This window comes from Homo sapiens, chromosome 16 (assembly GCF_000001405.40).
Source record: "Homo sapiens chromosome 16, GRCh38.p14 Primary Assembly".
NCBI lineage: Eukaryota > Metazoa > Chordata > Mammalia > Primates > Hominidae > Homo > Homo sapiens.
This window is the reverse complement of record NC_000016.10, coordinates 19,750,863-19,770,103: the sequence shown is the minus strand read 5'-3', so window position 1 is coordinate 19,770,103 and position 19,241 is coordinate 19,750,863. Positions and strand designations below refer to the sequence as shown.

General features: G+C 44.2%; 1 protein-coding gene and 1 long non-coding RNA gene across 10 annotated transcripts in view, besides 2 other annotated features; one reads left to right on the top strand and one right to left on the bottom strand.

The window, feature by feature from the left end:
• The window catches only part of IQCK (IQ motif containing K), a 140,197-nt gene that overhangs the window by 88,364 nt on the left and 32,592 nt on the right, over nt 1-19,241 (bottom strand). For 6 of the 8 annotated variants that reach the window (NR_130968.3, NM_001394805.1, NM_153208.3 and 3 more), the window contains 2 exons: nt 6,204-6,256; nt 5,992-6,069 (listed from right to left, as the gene is read on the bottom strand). The exons of 1 other annotated variant lie outside the window; for it this stretch is intronic. Coding sequence is in view for 6 of the 7 variants with exons in the window: in NM_001394805.1 (NP_001381734.1) it covers nt 5,992-6,069; nt 6,204-6,256 (131 nt within the window). In the remaining variant the exon portion in view is untranslated. The remainder of the gene's footprint in view (nt 1-5,991; nt 6,070-6,203; nt 6,257-19,241) is intronic. One more of the 8 variants, NM_001394806.1, reaches the window with a different exon arrangement.
• Nucleotides 2,015-2,515: an enhancer, noted in NCBI's record as "H3K4me1 hESC enhancer chr16:19778911-19779411 (GRCh37/hg19 assembly coordinates)". NCBI's record gives its function as "activates a minimal SCP1, AML or CMV promoter by ChIP-STARR-seq in naive H9 embryonic stem cells {active_cell/tissue: H9 hESC(naive)}" and the evidence as "EXISTENCE:reporter gene assay evidence [ECO:0000049][PMID:30033119]".
• Nucleotides 2,516-3,016: an enhancer, noted in NCBI's record as "H3K4me1 hESC enhancer chr16:19778410-19778910 (GRCh37/hg19 assembly coordinates)". NCBI's record gives its function as "activates a minimal SCP1, AML or CMV promoter by ChIP-STARR-seq in naive H9 embryonic stem cells {active_cell/tissue: H9 hESC(naive)}" and the evidence as "EXISTENCE:reporter gene assay evidence [ECO:0000049][PMID:30033119]".
• IQCK-AS1 (IQCK antisense RNA 1) lies at nt 4,034-9,343 on the top strand. Of its 2 annotated transcripts, NR_188663.1 has the most exons (4): nt 4,034-4,135; nt 7,096-7,349; nt 8,088-8,256; nt 8,547-9,343. It is a non-coding gene; the product is annotated as an IQCK antisense RNA 1 (long non-coding RNA). The 2 variants fall into 2 exon arrangements; NR_188662.1 differs by lacking the exon at nt 7,096-7,349.

Genomic DNA, 19,241 nt, shown 5'->3' with positions numbered 1-19,241 from the left:
CTTGTAAGCTTTAGGCCAATGTTTCTGGCATGGATATCCTAGAAGCACCTCAATCTAAAAGTGCCCCAGACAGGAATCATCATTTAACCCTTGCACTTGCTCTTCTCGCTGGGTCCCTTGGTTTCCATTATGGGCCACCCACATACCCAGGAGCAAATCTCACCATTTCAGGTACAACCCTTCTCTACCCCTAAATTTATCCTGGGTCATCCATCCATTCTACCCATCCCACAACCCCCTTTTTCCACTAACATGGCCCTAACTCAATACCTTACGGCTATAAAGACAGGCTTGGAACTAGTAGCCCCAACTCCAGGCTCTCCCCAATCTCAGATGTCCTTTGCACTGTCTCAGGAATTATCTTTCCAAAACAGCCTAATCCCATTTTACCTCTGCTCAAAAGCCTTTGAATGATCTCTTGCTTATGGAATAATGCCCAAACTTCTTTCTTTTACTGAAAACCATAATCCACCCCCTAACTGCCTTCTAGCCGTAGCTTCCATCTCATCCCTATGTCCTCACACACTCCAGGAGCTAGCGATGCTGGTTTCCTGTGACTGGACCAAATCCTGTCTCTTCTCCCATCTTTGGGTCTTTGGCCTGGAATGTCACAATGTCCACCAATGGCAATAAACCACTACTCACCATTTAGTAAGCCACATGTTACTATAGGTTGGGCTTGTTCACGATCCCATTTGTAGCTGTATCACTGTATCTTCACAACCACATTTACCAATAAGGAACTGGAGGCTTAGAGACAGACATGCTGTGATGCTTTTAAAATAAATATGTCCACACATTCTTTGATACTCCTCCCTCCCTAAGGTAGAGCTTAATTATTAAACCTCGAATGTGGCACTTGGTGACCTGCTTCTAATAGCATGTGATGGAAATGGAGGTATTTGACTTCCAAGACTAGGTCATAAAAGGTACCATGCTTCCTTCTTGTGCCCAAATCTTTCACTCTGAAGGAGGCCAGTCACCATGTCATGAGGATACTCAAGCAGCCCATGGAAAGACCCAGATGGGGAAAACTTAAGGCCTCCAAACAACAACCAGCACCATGTTTGTGCACCATCTTAAAAGCAGAACCTCCAGCCCCAGTTGGGCCCTCAGATGACTGCACCCCCTGTGACATCTTAACTACAACCTCATGGGAGACTCTGAACCACGACCACCCAGCTAAGCGGCTACCAAATTCCTGACCCAGAGAAACTATAGGATAATATTTATGACTTTAAGCCACTAAATTTGGGGGCAATTTGTTACACAGTAATAGATAAATAAACACTTGCCCAAGATCATAGGATCAGTAAGTGGTGGAGATATATTTTTGTTTGTTTGTTTTTTGTTTTTTTGAGATGGAGTCTCACTCTGTCACCCAGGCTGGAGTGCAGTGGTGCGAACTTGGCTCACTGCAACCTCTGCCTCCTGGGTTCAAGCAAATCTCCTGCCTCAGCCTTCCGAGTAGCTGGGATTACAGACGCACACCACCATGCCCAGCTAATTTTTGTATTTTTAGTAGAGACAGGTTTTGCCATGTTGGCCAGGCTAGTCTCAAACTCTTGACTTCAGGTGATCTGCCTGCCTCAGCCTCCCAAAGTGCTGAGATTACAGGTGTCAGCCACTGCACCCAGCCAGTGGTGGAGATTTGAATACTGGTTTATCTATCCCAAAAGCTCAGGCTCTTAATTCTGCCTGAAGTACTACTGTAGTTTATATTTCACTACCTTTAAAAAGCCTTGACAGAGTCTCCCCCTCGAAAGTTATCTTCCTCCAATCTGTATCATTAAGCTGTACTCAAACTGTCCATCCATAATACTCATATAATCACCTTATTTGTCCAAGACCCATCTCACTTCATGGTCAACTTCCCAGCTGTGGGCTCCCAGCTTTAGTACCTACATCCTAGTGTTGTTGTGAAGATTAAATGAGATGGCATGTATCAAAGCTCTTAGTGAAGCAATGGCTCAATTATATTATTTATTAGTTCCTGGATGCAGTACTTTTTCTGTCCTATGGATGGATAAGCTCTTAATCCTGGCTATATATTAGAATTACCTAGGAAGTTTAAAAAAAAAAAAAAAAGCAAAAAAAAACAATGTTCAGGCTATACCTGAAGATTATGATTTAGTCATTCTGGGTGAAGTTAGGTACCACTATTTTCCAAAGTTCCCTGGGTGATTTTATTTTATTTATTTATTTGTTTATTTATTTATTTATTGAGATGGAGTCTCGCTCTGTCACCCAGGCTGGCGTGCAGTGGTACCACTGATACAGGAGTGCTGGGAAGGGAAGAAGGGGGTAGGGGAAGTGCTCCGTAGAGGAGGGCGTGGTCCCTGGCTAGGGCTTCACCCCCAGGGACCTAGATGAGAACAGCCATTTCCTGCCAAATGTTGCATTTCCCAAGACCACCCTGGCTTGCCACACCCCCCGTCCTGGGCATATAAAAGCCCGAGACCCTAGCGGGCAGACACCCAGGCAGCCAAACGTCGAGAGGAGCACTTCAGCGGAAAAAGATACAAGCAGCTGCTCACGGAGAGGATGTTGAGAGGAGCACACCAGCAGAAGAGCACACGGCAGGCACAGGCACCTGGCAGGACGAGGCTGAGTTTGGCCAGGGCAGTTAGTCGGAGGAAAGCTGTGGCCGCTGAGCAGCCCAACTCCATGGGAAAAACCATGGTGCCCTTCTGGCTCCTCCATCGGCTGAGAGCTACTTCCACTCAATAAAACTTTGCACTCATTCTCCAAGCCCACGTGTGATCTGATTTCTCTGGTACACAAAGGCAAGAACCTGGGATACAGAAATCCCTCTGTCCTCGCAACAAGGTAGAGGGTGAATTGAGCTGGTTAACACAAACCGCCTATAGATGGCAAACTAAGAGAGCACCTGGTAACATATGCCCACTGGGGCTTCAGCTGTAAATTCACCTATAGACACCGCCATCGGGTGGGAGCCCGACAACCTGCCTGCCTGTATGCTCCCCTAGAGGTTTGAGCAGCAGGGCACTGAAAAAGCGAGCCACATCCCCCTGTTGCATGCCCTGCGAGGGGGACAAGGTAATTTTTCCCGTTTCACCTTCTTGGCTCACTGCAACCTCTGCCTCCTGGATTCAAGCAGTTCTCCTGCCTCAGCCTCCCAAGTAGCTGAGATTACAGGCATGTGCCACCACACCTGGCAAATTTTTGTATTTTTAGCGGAGATGGGGTTTTACTGCATTGGCCAGGCTAGTCTCGAACTCCTGACCTCAAGTGACCTACCCACCTCGGCCTCCCAAAGTGCTGCTTTAAAGTTTTGAAACTACTGGACTAAATCAGAGGTTCTCAACCAGAGGCAGTTTTGCCTCATTCCCCTTGGGGACATACGCTAGTGTCTGGAGATATTCTTGATTGTCACAACTGTAGGAGGGTGCTACTGGCATCTAGTGAGTGGAGGCCAGAGATGCTGCAAAACATCCTACAATGCACAGGTCAGCTCCTTACAGCAAAGAATTATCCAGTCCTAAATGTCAATAGTGCCAAGGTTGAGACAACCTGGATTGGATATTTCCCGGCTCCCACCCTTGTTCTCCTTAAGAACTTTGGTTCCTGCTTGCTTCTCTGACTATTCCTACTTGAGACAAGAAGAATGCAGCATTTGAGTTCTTGCCTTGGACCAAATCTGGGCACCAACCAGCTTGGCCGCTGCCCCAGCTGGGCTGGCTCCAGGCCCACCAGGAAGGGCACGTGGATGGTCTCATGCTTCCCCACTTCCCTTTAATGCTTTGTTAACATTTGAATTACAACACTCACTACAGAAACTACAGCAAGTTGTAAACATGTCCCCCCACCCCAAGGGGCCAGGGCCATACTTTATTCATCTCTGTTTTTTCCACAGCACCAAGCTCTGTGCAGTTGAACTGGGTAGGTGTTCGATAGACATTCATTGCATCAAATAGATTAATATCACTTTAATTTTTATCATGCATCTGGGCATCTCTTTGAAAGGTCATGGATGTAGAGAATATAAATGCCCGTTAAAGCAAGAGCTCTTGTGTTTCTGTTCCTGTGGAGTGCAGCTGAAATGACCGCTACTGCTCCTTCACAGTATATTTACATGAGCTTCCTGTGGACATCAGCACCATTTAAAATTAAGGTATTTGTATAATAAATAAAGCTAAGAGGATTCTTATTAGAGAAGTTATCTTATTTTTAAGGTTATTTTTCATTGGTTATTACAAATGGAAAATTTTTTTTCAAGGCAAAGCAGCAACTTGGAGAATGATACTCAAAGAAGCTTGTCTTAGAAAAATATATGTAAATCAATAAATTTTGGGCTATACATTTCATAGCGGATAAAATCAGGCACAGGTTTGAAAGCTAAATAAGAAACAAGGTTTTCCTATGTTTCTCTCCTTTCAATGTGTAATCTTAGATTTAAAAAAAAACTGGTTAATATCTGGGGTTTTTAAAATTCTCAAAATTGCCAGAGTCAGCCAAGGGTCTATTCATCTTGGTATTCTCAAAGAGGGAAGATTTAAGCAAAATATGTGACAACTGAGAGCCGAGAGTCTAAATTTTTTTTTTGAGACAGAGTCTCACTCTGTCCCCGAGGCTGGAGTACAGTGGTGCGATCTCGGCTCACTGCAACCTCTACCACCCGGGTTCAAGCGATACTCCTGCCTCAGCCTCCTGAGTAGCTGGGATTACAGGCACGTGCCACCGTGCCCAGCTAATTTTTTTATTTTTAGTAGAGACGGGGTTTTGCCATGTTGGCCAGGCTGGTCTCGAACTCCTGACCTCAAGTGATCTGCCCACCTCGGCCTCCCAAAGTATTGGGATTACAGGCATAAGCCACCATGCCCGGCCAGATATAAACTGATTTTTTTTTTTTTTTTTTTTTGAGATGGAGTCTCACTCTGTCGCCCAGGCTGGAGTGCAGTGGAGCCATCTGGGCTCACTGCCAGCTCCGCCTCCAGGGTTCACGCCATTCTCCTGCCTCAGCCTCCCGAGTTGCTGGGACTACAGGCGCCCGCCACTATGCCTGGCTAATTTTTTGTATTTTTAGTAGAGACGGGGTTTCACTGTGTTAGCCAGGATGGTCTCGATCTCCTGACCTCGTGATCCGCCGGGCACGGTGGCTCACGCCTGTAATCCCAGCACTTTGGGAGGCTGAGGTGGGCGGATCACGAGGTCAGGAGATCGAGACCATCCCGGCCAACACGGTGAAACCCCGTCTCTAATAAAAATACAAAAAAAAAAAAAAAATTAGCCAGGTGTGGTGGCAGGCACCTGTAGTCCCAGCTACTCAGGAGGCTGAGACAGAGAATGGCATGAACCCGGGAGGTGGAGCTTGCAGTAAGCCAAGATCGCGTCACTGCACTCCAGCCTGGGTGACAGAGCAAGACTCCGTCTCAAAAAAAAAAAAAAAAGAAATTAAAGGAATAAAATAATGGCTACTCCATAGACAGAGCAGCATAAACTGATTTTATATAGCTAAATAACTAAGAGGTCTGGAAGGCTGCACTGTAGACTGAAGTGATTACTTCAATGTGGGGAGGACACCCATATTAGAATGGTCAAATAGTTTTAATTTTATCTGTCATGTTCTTTATTATATTAAAAATGGAGAATTGATGCAGGTAACTTATTATTTAAGCTTTTTTAGTATTTTCTAAGTATTTAGAAAAGCTTAGTCATATTTCCTGAGACATAATGACATTCAGAGAGACAGGAAAAAAATGAAGGGAATGGAGGGATAAATTACTTAGGATAATAATTTTTTTTTTAAGTTTTCTATTTTATTTCTGGAGTGCTTCTTGAATGAAATTACTGGCCTGATTAGGATAAGGTTAGCCTAGGCTAAGAATAACTAGAGACAGGAGTCACAAATATGACTGGCCCAGAGTCCTGGATGGATCACATCAGTTTGTTCTCTTAGATGGAAGAAAAGTATTATTAACACAATCTTAAATTAGGAATAAATTATTCAAAGCCTTGTGTCATACTCACTGTTGCTTTAGCCGCTCCTCCACAAATGGAATGGAGAAAAATTCTGTGAATGGCTCCCCTGCCCTCTTTGGATTTTGGCTGGTCATGATGCCATATGTTTGATTGACAAGAAAACAATAAGCAAGAATTCAAGTCAGTTGTTGCTATTCTGCTTGCAAATTAACACGACTGAATTCTTAGGATCACTGAATAGTCAGACACGAACAACTTACTTGTATAACCACTCAGTCAGAAAATCACAGGCAATGAATTTGGTTCTTTTCCTCTGAAGAGAGAAGAGATAATTAAATTACAACTGACCCTTAAACACTATGGATTTGAACTGCACAGGTCTACTTATACATGACTTTTTTCAATAAAGCTTAACACTGGCTGGGTGTGGTGGCTCACGCCTGTAATCCCAGCACTTTGGGAGACCGAGGCGGGTGGATCACTTGAGGTCAGGAGTTCGAGACCAGTCTGGCCAACACAGTGAAACCCCATCCCTACTAAAAATACAAAAATTAGCCAGGCGTGGTGGTGGGCACCTGTAGTCCCAGCTACTCAGGAGGCTGAGGCAGGAGAATTGCTTGAACCTGGGAGGTGGAGGTTGCAGTGAGCCGAGACCTCACCACTGCACTCCAGCCTGGGCAATAGGGTGAGACTGTGTCTCAAAAAAAACAAAAGAAACTTAACACCAAGTGTGCCTGCCTCTCCTGCCTCCCCTTCCACCTCTGCCACCTCTGAGACAGCAGGACCAATTCTTCCTCTTCCTCCTCCTTCTCAGCCTACTAAACCTGAAGATGAGGAGGAAGACCTTTATGATGATCCACTTCCATTTAATGACTAGTAAATATATTTTCTCTTTCTATAATTTTGTTAATAAATTTTCTTTTGCTACCTTACTTATAAGACTATAGTATATAATACATAAAACATACAAAATTTGTGTTACTGGTAAGTCAACAGTAGGCTATTAGTAGTAGGGTATTAGTAGTTAAGTTTCGAGTATATAATACATATACAAAATTTGTGTGACTGTTAAGTCAACAGTAGGCTATTAGTAGTTAAGTTTTGAGGGAGTCAAAAGTTTTAGAGGATTTTCTTTCTTTCTTTTTGTGACAGGGCCTCATTCTCTCATCCAGGCTGGACTGCAGTGGCGTGATCTCAGCTCACTGCAACTTCTGCCTCCCGAGCTCAAGTGATCCTTCCACCTCGGCCTCCCCAGTACCCAAGACTACAGGCACACACCACCACGCCTGGCTAATTTTTGTATTTTTTGTAGAGATGGGGTTGCATCATGTTGCCCAGGCTGGTCTTGAACTCCTAAGCTCAAGCAGTCTGCCCTGCCTTGGCCTCCCAAAGTGCTGGGATTACAGGTGTGAGCCACTGTGCCCGGCCAAAGTTATAAGTGGATTTTTGACTGCACGGGGGTTTGGCATCCGTATTGTTTAGGAGTCAACTGTATATTCTTACTTTGCCCATGTCTGAGTAGGAAAAAGGAAGGGAGGTTAATTGATTGCTTGTGTTAGATGAAATACGCGTGAATCCTTTATGAGATTTATAAGAACATCAACAAACAGTAACTTGGGCAAAGAATTCCAAAGACATTTCTTTAGTCCTCTTTCAATAAGCACATTTTCTGACATTAGGTAGTAATAAAAGACAGTGCTCATATCGAGGCTTACTACATGCTTTTGGAATTGCAGGATTTTGTTATTTAAATTTAGACTGTGATTCTCTGAGTAACTGTATATATTGCTTTACCCCAAATCCACTCAAATCCTCTGAGCAGCAGTCCTTCGGGTCTAAGTGCCACCTTCACGAGACACCCCGCACACAGGTGCCGCCAGCAGTGTGGCTGACCCTGCTAGCTCTCCACCCACGGTCCACTCTCCACTTCAACCTTATTAACAGAAACTTGATTGCTTCCAAATGGCAATCAACTCAGCCAAAGATCTACATTTCCCAGGCTCCCATGTAGCAAGGGACAGCTATGTCATACAGTTCTGCCCGATGAGATAAAACCAGACATATTCTAGGGACCTCTGAGAAAATTCTGCTTTCCTGATTTCTGCTGCCCCTTCTTCCTTGAAGTTTCATTTCACTTCTTCTAGGCTGGAACACAGATGTGGGGCTGGAAGTGGAGCAGCCCCTTTTAGCCATGAGGCCCAAAGCCACATGCTAAGGATGGTGAAGCAGGGGATAGAAAGAGCCTGTGTCTTTGCTGACTTCCTTAAGCCACGGCACCAGCCTGGGCCTGCCCTACTCTGGACATCTAAATGTGTAAGGAGAAATAAACTTCATTCGTTTTATTACCACTGTTCTTGAGTTTTCAATACAGGCAGCTGAATGCGCCCCTAAGGGATAGATACCTAGTAAACCACAAGGGAAAAGACATCCCAGAGTAATGGGGAGAAGATAAGCTGAGCCTGCCAATGGGGTGGAGCACCAGATATCCTGTCTTCTATTTCCATTTCAAGTTTGTTCTTGTAACCCAAAGAATACCAGTAAACTTCTTTTAGAGAATTGTTATGGAAATCGGGTGATAAAATCTCTGTCTTCTTTTAAAATAGCAGGAGCTAAGAATCAAGTCAGTCTAGAGGTGTTCGTTGCCATGTGGAGAGATCCTTCCCAAGAAGAAAGATGCTACAAAGTGTCCTGGAAATCCTCTTTGCCCATCCAGATCCACCCTCCCTAGCCTGCTCTGTACCTCAGGAAGCTGCTTTTCATGGTTCACATAAACCAGGCTCCTGTACCCTCCAGATAGGTCCATCCTATGGGTGGTACCAGCAGGAGACCAGAGAGATGAAGGAGGGAAAAAAAGAACATTAGGGGTTGAATTGTATCACCCCAAAATTCATATGGTGAAGTATAACCCCTTCGGAATGTAACCTTATTGGAAATGTCAGAGGCACGTGAACCAGAGCAACTCCATCTTGAATAGGGGCTGGGTAAAATGAGGCTGAGACCTATTGGGCTGCATTCCCAGACGGTTAAGGCATTCCAAGTCACAGGATGAGATAGGAGGTTGGCACAACATATAGGTCATAAAGACCTTGCTGATGAAACAGTTGCAGTAAAGAAGCCAGTCAAAGCGCACCAAAACCAAGATGGCGACAAGAGTGACCTCTGGGCATCCTCACTGCTACACTCCCAGCAGCACCATGACAGTTTACAAATGCCATGGCAACATCAGAAAGTTACCCTAGATCATCTAAACATGGGAGGCATGAATAATCCACCCCTTGCTTAGCATATACTCAAGAAATAACCATAAAAATGGGCAGCCAGCAGCCCTCGGGGCTGCTCTGTTTATGGAGTAGGCATTCTTTTATTCCTGCACTTTCCTAATAAACTTGCTTTCACTTTACGGACTTGCCCTGAATTTTTTCTTGCACAAGATCCAAGAACTCTCTTGGGGTCTGGATCAGGACCCCTTTCCCATAACATACCCTCCAGATCAGTCCAGCTAACGAGAGACCAGCAGGAGATCAGAGAAATGGAGAAGGGAAAGGCAGAGTGTTAAGGGTTGAATTGTATCACCCCAAGAGTCATATGTTGAAGTATAACTCCCAAGCCCTCAGAATATGACTGTATTGGAAACGGGATTGTCACAGATGTAATGAATTAAGCCCAGCCGCTCCTGAAAGACAAAGCAGTTCCACTGAGAGTGAACAAATTTGGGGCTCTATTAACAAGGAAGAAGAGAGATGCTGTTGGGTAGACAAACAGTGGCAGATCCTTGATGATACTCTACTAGATCCTGGGTCCAGCTATGACTGAAGCCAAAATTCCCTGGACCTTTCAGGTATAAGAACCAATATATTCTCTTTTGCACTTAAGCCAGTTTGCATTAGGTTGTTTATTATTTGAAACAGAGACTTTTTAGCACTATTATTGTCTTCTCCAATCAGTTAACCACGATTTATCCTTCATGATGCCTCCAGCAAGCCTTTCTGAGCATTCTCATTGTCTTTTTAAAAAATTATATATTTTTTAAAATTTTAGAGACAGAGTCTCTCTCTGTCACCCAGGCTGGAGTATAGTGGCATGATCTCTCTCCAGCCTCAAACTCCTGGGCTCAAGCAATCCTTCTGCCTCAGCCTCTTGAGTAGCTGGGACTACAGACACATGCCACCACACTGGCTAATATACTTTTAAAACTTTCTGTAGAGACGGGGTCTCACTCTGTTGCCCAGGCTGGTCTCAAACTCCTGGGCTCAAGTGATCCTCCTGCCTCCTGCCTCAGCCTCTTGAGCAGTTGGGACTACAGGCATGCACCACCACACCTGGCTAATATATTTTTAAAACTTTTTGTAGAGATGAGGTCTCACTATGTTGCCTAAGCTGGTCTCAATCTCTTGCGCTCAAGTGATCCTCCCGTCTCGGCCTTCCAAAGTGCTAGGATTATAGACATGAACCACTTTGCCCAATCTCACCCTCTTCAGTTTAGGGTGGGCTCTACTCCAGTTTTCCGTGTGCTTGTCTGTCATAGCACCTGAGACTGTAACATGAGTCTGCCATGTCTATCTTCCCTAGTGAATCATAAGCTCTGTGACGACAGGCCACATATACATGTCTTTTTTTTCTTTATATCCCCAGTGCTTAACTGACTGCACTGAGGCTGGGCATGGTGGCTTACACCTGTAATCCCAGCACTTTGGGAGGCCGAGGCAGGCGGATCACCTGAGGTCAGGAGTTTGAGACCAGCCTGGCCAACATGGCAAAACCCCATCTCTACTAAAAATACTAAAATAAGCCAGGCATGGTGGCACGTGCCTGTAATCCCAGCTACTCAGGAAGCTGAGAGAGGAGAATCGCTTGAACCTGGGAGGCGGAGGTTGCGGTGAGCTATCACGCCACTGCACTCCAGCCTGGGCAACAGAGCAAGACTCCATCTCAAAATAATAATAATAATAATTAATTTTAAAAAATTGACTGCACTGGACAGAGCAGGTGAGCAGTCCCTGTTGAGTAAATGAATGAATGAATTCACCATTCAACTCTCAAGCATCAAAGCAAGAAAAAAACTCATGTACACAGGTTCTGATATTTACAAGTAGGAATTGCTAATATAATTGTAGACAATTTCTCTTTACTTTCTTCCCACAATATTTTACTAGGAAAATGTTTCCATAATTTTTTTTCTTTCTTCCTCTTTAGTTTGAAATGGCAAACTCAGCTTTATAATTCAAGATAAGGTTGAAACGATTGTTGTGAAATTGATGTTTCACCAAAAAGAAAAGTTCTCCTTAACACTTTTTACCGAAACCTTTATTGGAGTTTTTAGTAAATAAAATATCGTGGTGCCTGAGTTACTGGAGATTATCTGCAATCTTTTACCTCATTGCTGAAACCCCTTTATGAAAAAATGGAAATACTGCTGGTTGGCGTAATAAAATGTATGTATCAGACCATGTAATGGGGTCCTCTAATCTGCCCTGCAAGAATAGAAGTCCCTTCAAAAAGCCATCTTTAACCAAAATAAGAAAATACTTGTATAACAATGCAAATATGTAACTAGCCTGAATTGCCGTATAATAATTTAAACAATCTGGCAATTGTAGGATGGCAGTGTCTCTCTCCCGCCCTACAAAAGATGCATTGTTCCCTTGGCATTTATCACATCATTTAGTGGTAAAGATTTCTTCTGTAAAGAGAATGCAGCTTGACTTTAATAAACAGACTTTAAAAATAGCCAAATGGTCTGATGTATGACGGTCATGCACACAGATTTAATCACTTTCGATGCAAAGAAATAAAATGGAAGAAATAGTGTTTTCCTTCTGTTCTGGGCAAGCGTGGACGTGCTGTGCATACCCAGACATGTGGAACAGTGGGGATATTGTTCAGCTGTTGTTTAGTTTAAAAATTATCTGCTGAGGAGCTGAAAGAGAGAAGGAAAAGCAAATGAAAAGTTGTGGTGAGTGATGAAATAAGAGAGGAAGTAGGAGAGAAAGAAATTAAAGAGCGAGATTTAGACAGCGAGGGCACCCAGGGTTTATGTAATGTGGGCAAATACACTGAGTCCTTGATTGTTAAAGGGTGAAAATGCTTATGTTTGTGAGAGCAGAGGGAACAGTTAAGGCAGCCTCTAACAAGGTTTAAAAATATTCTTTTAATCTATAATTAAAAGGAAAAAGACTAGGTGTCAAGGGTTAAGGCATCATCATGTCCTCATTAAGTCTGCAACTTACTCTGAAATGCATCCAAAAAACCGAGATGAATGAATAGAGGGATGGATTGCTGGGTTCATGGATATGTGATAAAACAAATAAAGCAAAATGGAAATTGTAGAATCAAGGCAGTGGATATGTGGGAATTCATTCCAAAATTCTCTCAGTTCATCTATCTGATTAAATTTTTTTAAATAATAAAATTAGAAGAGAGGGAAATAGGAGGAAAATACCATCATAAAAGACCCAGACCTCTAAAAGAGAAAATGCAGAATTTTGTTTTTTGAGACAGAGTCTCACTCTGTTGCCCAGGCTGGAGTGCAGTGGCACGATCTCCACTCACTGCAACCTCCACCACCTGGGTTCAAGCCTCAGCCTCCTAAGTAGCTAGGATTACAGGCGTAGGCATAGAATTACCATGGCCTGGCTAATTTTTGTGTTTTTAGTAGGTATGGGGTTTTGCCATGTTGGCCAGGCTGGTCTCCAACTGCTGGCCTCAAGTGATCTACCCGCCTCGGCCTCCCAAAGTGCTGGGATTACAGGCATGAGCCACAGCGCCCAGCCGAAAATGAGGAAATTAACAGCGGTTCAATCCAGACAGTATTTTGTACCAATTTTTATACTGGATGCACGTAGAAGAGACACACTGGAGGACTGAAGGCTGAGAAGAGAAACAGCTAGCATTAAAAAGCAATTGAATCTGCATCAGATGACTCATATAATTCCACCTAGAAAAGTCAAAAGCACATGCTGTGAGTTCAGGGGACTGAAGTGTGGCTGGCTACGGCACTGTGTTGGTTGAGACTCTTTGGGCTTACAAGGAATAGAAATATGCTCAATTTACTTCATGTCTTAGTCCATTTAGGTGGCAATAACAAAAATATCATAAACTGGGTAACTAATAAACAACAAACATTTGTCTCTCACAATTCTAGAGGCTAGGAAGTCCAAGATAAAAGTGCTGGCAGATTTGGTGTCTGGTTCCTCATAGATGGCACCCATAGATGGAAGGGACAAGGCAGCTGTCTGGAGCCTCTTTCTTTTTTTTTTTTTTTTTTGACATGGAGCCTTGCTCTGTTGTCCAGGCTGGAGTGCAGTGGCGCGATCTCAGCTCACTGCAAGCTCTGCCTCCCGGGTTCACGCCATTCTCCTGCCTCAGCCTCCCAAGTAGCTGGGACTACAGGCATATGCCACCACGCCCGGCTAATTTTTTGTAGTTTTAGTAGAGATGGGGTTTCACTGTGTTAGCCAGGATGGTCCTGACCTCGTGACCATCTCCTGACCTCATGATCCGCTGGCCTCGGCCTCCCAAAGTGCTGGGATTACAGGCGTGAGCCACTGCGCCCGGCCATGGAGCCTCTTTTATAAGGACACGAATCTCACTCATAAAGCCTCCACCCTGATGGCCTAATCACCTCCCAAAGGCTCTACCATCTAATATCATCACACTGGAGATGAGATTAACATATGAATCTGGGGGGAAGATATAGACATTCAGATCATAGTACCTCAGTTACTGGGCTTGTTTGTTTGTTTAGTCATATTCGGCTCGATTTTGCTGTGATAATAACTAAACTTCAAGTCTCAGTGGCTTATCTTGTCAATGGTTTATTTTTCACTCATGTTACATGAACATTTCAATCAGCTGTGGCTCTCTGCTCCATGCTGTCTTTACTCTAGGACTCAGGCTGACAGAGCAGCCTGTATCTCAAATATCACCAGCTCTTATGGCCAATCAAAAGAATATGGTGAACTATGCTTTGCCGATTGATTGATTGATTGAGACACTATCACCCAGGCTGGAGTGCAGTGGCACAATCAAGGCTCACTGCAGCCTCAACTTCCCAGATTCAAGTGATCCTCCTGCCTCAGCCCCCCAGGTAGCTGGGACTACAGGTATGCAACACCAGGCCCAGCTAATTTTTTTGAATTTTAGTAAAGACAAGGTCTTGCTATGTTGCTTGGGCTGGTCTTGAACTCCTGAGCTCTAGTGATCCTCCAGCCTCGGCCTCCCAAAGTGCTGGCATTACAGGTGTGAGCCACTGGGCTTGGCCTGTTTTGACTCTTTCAGCATGTGTTTGGAAATGATATATGTCATGCCCATCCATTTTGCTGACCAAAGCAGTCAGTCACATGGTCAAACCTCCATTAGGGAGAGGCCAAAAATATTTCTGAAGTATAATCTCTTCTACCACAGGGAGTGACACAGTAAAGGTAAAAGAAATGGTGGGGAAAATGAGAATCTCTCTGGCTGGTGGCAGAGCCAGGTCTCAGGAAGACCTGGACCATTGCTTATGGCTGTTCAGGGCACAGGTGAGGCTACAGTCATCCAACAACGGTTCTGGTTCCGGTTCTAGTTATGTGGAGCTCAGCTCCTTGGCCATGGCTCCTTTCATTGCTTGCTGTTGCTTTCTCTGCTGTTCTCTCCTAATTGATTCTCTGTCCTCCTTTCTCTGCCTTTAAGGTTGTCTCTAGGTGTCCCCCTCTCCCTACGCTACAGTCTGCCTGTTCTCTCTGCAGTGTGACATCCCACCTCCCCAGATGGGAGAATCTGATAGGACTAGTTGGATACTCCCAAGAGAGACCATCTCTGTTGGGTGGACCATTTCACAGTCATTTGCCATCTAAGAGTGGCTGCCCAAGGGCCTGATCCATATTCCTGGTTCAATCACTTGTATTCAGGGTGATGGAGACATGGATAAAATAGGGACAAAGAACAGCAGTTAAGGACTGTGGATGTGGCATACACATAGAACATCACAGCCTCCTTTCCCACGTATTTTCCACAATACATTTCCAGATACCCGATAATTCCCATACACGATGAAACCATCCGTAACTATGATCCCAGAAATAAGCATACACTTGGCCTATAACCAGATGCCAAAATATTTATAGCAAACTGCAAACAGGTATTCACATTTTTTTTTCCATTGAGAAGGCATTTCATTAGAGAAAAATAATACTTCTCTAAAGAAGTTCAAAAAATGCACTAATAACATTGACCAAGACCTCCAGCCCAGGCCACAGGGTCATTTCAGAAAGTGTTTTGGCTGAAAAGGGATCATGCTAAAATAATTCTACCACACCTTTCCTGCCAGAATCTATTGTTTCCACTCCTTAGAAATTTTTTCGAACAAAAGCTGATGGTATTACTAATTTTCCTTATTGGTCAAGACCAGGAAATAGAGTTTCTTCCCTCACTGACCAAAGCCCTTGTACTTTTAAAAGGATATTCAGGTTTTTAATTATAAGAAGGAAAATAACTACAATGAATGACTATGAGATGGGCAAGGAATGTAAAAAGAAAAAAAAAAGAAAGAGAAAAAAATTCTGTAATTTTACAGAATTATTCGTAGTAGCAAATTTTTGTGTCGTGAGATCATCAAAGAACTTGTCAGGAGTTAGAAACAGTTTCCTGATACCAACTATGGTCTACAATAGTCTTCACTGTAATGGAATTTGATAAGCAACCAAAAGCCGAAAGGGAAAATTTTACGTTACATGGAGTAAGATAGGAGAAGAGGCGGTCTTATGGCCTCTACCCAGAGTCCACATTTAATCCATATTTAAAGCTGACATAAAATTTATTTTCAGCCATCGTTTTACTCATGCACAAAACTGATTTCTTTCCAAATTAAGCAAAGTGCATTGTTCCAGTCTGACTCTGTTCAACAAACATTTACTTACTGTGTGCACGCCCTGTGTTAAACACAAGAGATAAAGAAAATGAGTAAGGCACGGCCCCAGTGTGGTTATTAAATGCCCCCAAACTGCCACCCTGCAGCTCCTGACCTGGGTAGTAAGTGACAGTAGGTGCAGATGGTTAACTCCGTCTCAGCTCCAGGTGTGAACCCTGATAAGGCAGGTGAGATAATCCCACCTCACCCCACCTAGACCTGAGCCAATCTGGTCCACATTTATCCTGGCCAAAGGGATGCACTGAATCAGGAATGGGCATGTGACCCACTTCAGAGTGATGAGATGTCAGGGGAGGTGTGCTGGAGCTTCTGGGAAGTTAATTTCCTTTGCTTTCCTGAAAGAGTTTGTTGTCCCCCTTCTGTTTGATGTAGTAGGTGGATACAAAGCCGAGGCAGTGGTCGCAGCTGTTTTGCCAATCCAAAGGAAGCCAGCCCGGGATAAAGCTGACTCTGCTAGAGGCCAAGCAGAGAGGCAGGAGAGAACCAAGTCCTCCTCAGTTATATCACAGAGTTCCTGAATCAAACCAACCCTGAAGCCTTCCCTCTCTACCTTGGGGCCTTCTAGTTTCCTGAGCCAATAAATCCTCTGTATTATTTAAGTCAGTTTCCTGCTAGTTGCAACATAATGCACCCTAACCAAGATACGTGCTCAGTATCCCTTCCATCTTATTTTGGTAACAGCACCCTGAGTTCCTTTCAGGAATCCATCTTTCCCCAGCAAAAACTATGGGCTTTGGATGCCTAACAGGCCACTAAATCACAATTCCCCTAGTTCCAAGGACCTATTCCAAAGCAGGTATGTTTATTTATTTATTTATTTTATTTTTAGAGACAAGGTCTTGCTCTGTCACCTAGGCTGGAGTGTAATGGCATGATCATAGTTCACTGCAGCCTTGAATTCCTAGGCTCAAGGGATCTTCCTGCCTCAGCTTCCTGAGTAGCTAGGACTACAGGCACATGCCACCTGTAATGCTCAGGTAATTTTCAAAAATTTTTTTTTTTTTTTGTAGAGATAGGGGTTTTGCTATGTTGCCCAGGCTGGTCTCCTGGGTTCAAGCAATTCTTCTGCCTTGGCATCTCGAAATGTCTGGGATTACAGGCATGAGACACTATGCCCAGCCCAAATTACTCAGACAATTGACCCGAGTTGGCTCAATTAGAGAGAAACTCTGGGAGAGACTCTCTCTCTCTCTCTCTCTCTGCTACACTTGAGCCTTATAGGACATAGGCTGGTGCCACAAAATGAGGGCTCATTTGAGGGTGGAGCCAACCCAGACGAAGCAGTCAAGAGAAGAAGAGAGAGAACAGTCATGGAGACATCATCTGGGTCACCAGATCAAGCTGTGCTGGAAGATCTCCCTGTGGGCCTCTTGTCTACATTTTTTAAAAGGTCCGGGCACGATGGCTCATACCTGTAATCGCAACACTTTGGGAGGCTGAGGCAAGTGGATCATTTGAGCTGAGAAATTCGAGACCAGCCTGGCCAACATGGCAAAGCCCCATCTCTACAAAAAATACAAAAACTAGCCAGGCATGGTGGCATGTATGCCTATAGTCCCAGCTACTCAGGAGGCTGAGGTGGGAGGATCGTTAGAGCTGGGGTAGATTGAGGCTGCAGTGAGCTATGATCTGACTCCAGCCTGGGCAGCAGAGTGAGACCCTATCTCAAAAAATAAATAAGTAATATATAAAGAAAGAAAGAAAACAATCCCTTTCTACTTAGGACAGTTTGAATGGGGTTTTCTGCCATGTTCAGGACCTGCCCTCAAAGAGTTAACTCCAGCAAATAAGGAAATCTTAGCTCTGCATACTTAATACTCCCCAGCTGAAACAAACTCATTTGAGTTTCCACTACTTTTTACTGCTAACAATATAAGCCTTTTATCAAAAAATGCTTACAGTAAAAATGATTAACTTTACTCTGAGTGTTCAAAATATTTTCAGAGATGCATCAGAAAGAATTTCCAAGTGAAGTTTGCAATGTAGCCACTGAGCCAGCTCTGTTTAATATAGCAGTTCAATTAAATTCTAATTAAATTCTGATCGCTCGTGTTCCAATTAAGCTAATCCAAAGGCAGGGCTGAATGTCATGGAATTCCTTAAGAATATCAACCTAACTGTAAGGTTTAATCTTCATAATGCTATTTACACATCTCAGACTTAATTTGTTCCAGTGGAATGCAATGCAGGTCACGGTAGAGCAGGAATGGTACTGTGGCCTTTTAACTAGACTTCAGTCTAAAAACACTGTTGAAGTTCTATTTTAACAATTGCACAGTTGATTTCCTGCCTTACAACCTTTTCCCCTTCCAACTCTTGTAGAGTGTGGCCAGCCCAGGGGCACTCAGGAAGGCAGCTATAACTATAATCGGAAGATCAGAAAGGTCAATGGCAATGCAGATTCAATAAGGAGAAGGCAAGTCTTTGTACAAACTCTACTCCCACAGATTTTGATCTCAGGATCAAAATTATTTGCACACCTAGCTTCAAAGCCATGCCTCCGAGAAACCAAGGGATCTGGAGCACTCCCTTCAAGGCCTGCTCTCTGCTTGGAGAAGGCATGCCAAGCTCTTTGTTAAAGGAAGCTACTGGCAGAGGCTTGATGACACACCTGTCCTGATCCATCTCGCTACTCCTGCCTAAAACAGAATTTATTCTTTCTCTCATTGCCTACCTGGACCCCAACTCTCTTTCCTCTGGCTTTGCACTTGCTCACATTTGCCTCCCTCCTTCAAACATAATTTTAAAATTTATTTTTATTTATTTATCTTTTTTAAAGATAGGGTCTCGCTCTGTCACCCAAGCTGGAGTGCAGTGGTGTGATCATAGCTCACTGCAGCCTCAAACTCTTGGGCTCAAGCAATCCTCTCACCTCAGCCTCCCGAGTGCTGGGACTATAGGCACATGGCACTGCCTGGCTAATTTCTATTTTTTGTAGAGATGGGGTTGCCCAGGCTGGTCTCCAATTCCTGGTCTCAAGTGACCCACCTACGCAGGCCTGCCAAAGTGCTGGGATAACGGGTGTGAACTACTGTGCTTGGCCAAGCACAATTCTTAATAACGATGGCTCCCATTACTGTGCCTGACACACCCCATCTCATTTATTCTTCCCCACAGCCCTGGTGAGGTGGGTACTATGATTATCACTTCCCCACTTAATAGATAAGAAAACTGAGGCTCACAGCATTTCAGGAGACTTCCTAGGGGCACAGAGCTAGCAGAGCTGAAGGAGAGATTCAAGCCCACCTAACTCCAGCAGCCCCACCCTCATCACCGTACCTGCCACAGCCCTCCACATTTCTGACACCACCCCTACCATTCAACTCCCCCTAAATGGCCAGTCCCAGTCCACCTCTTCCTCGCAGACTGTCCTCATTTTCAGACTTCCACT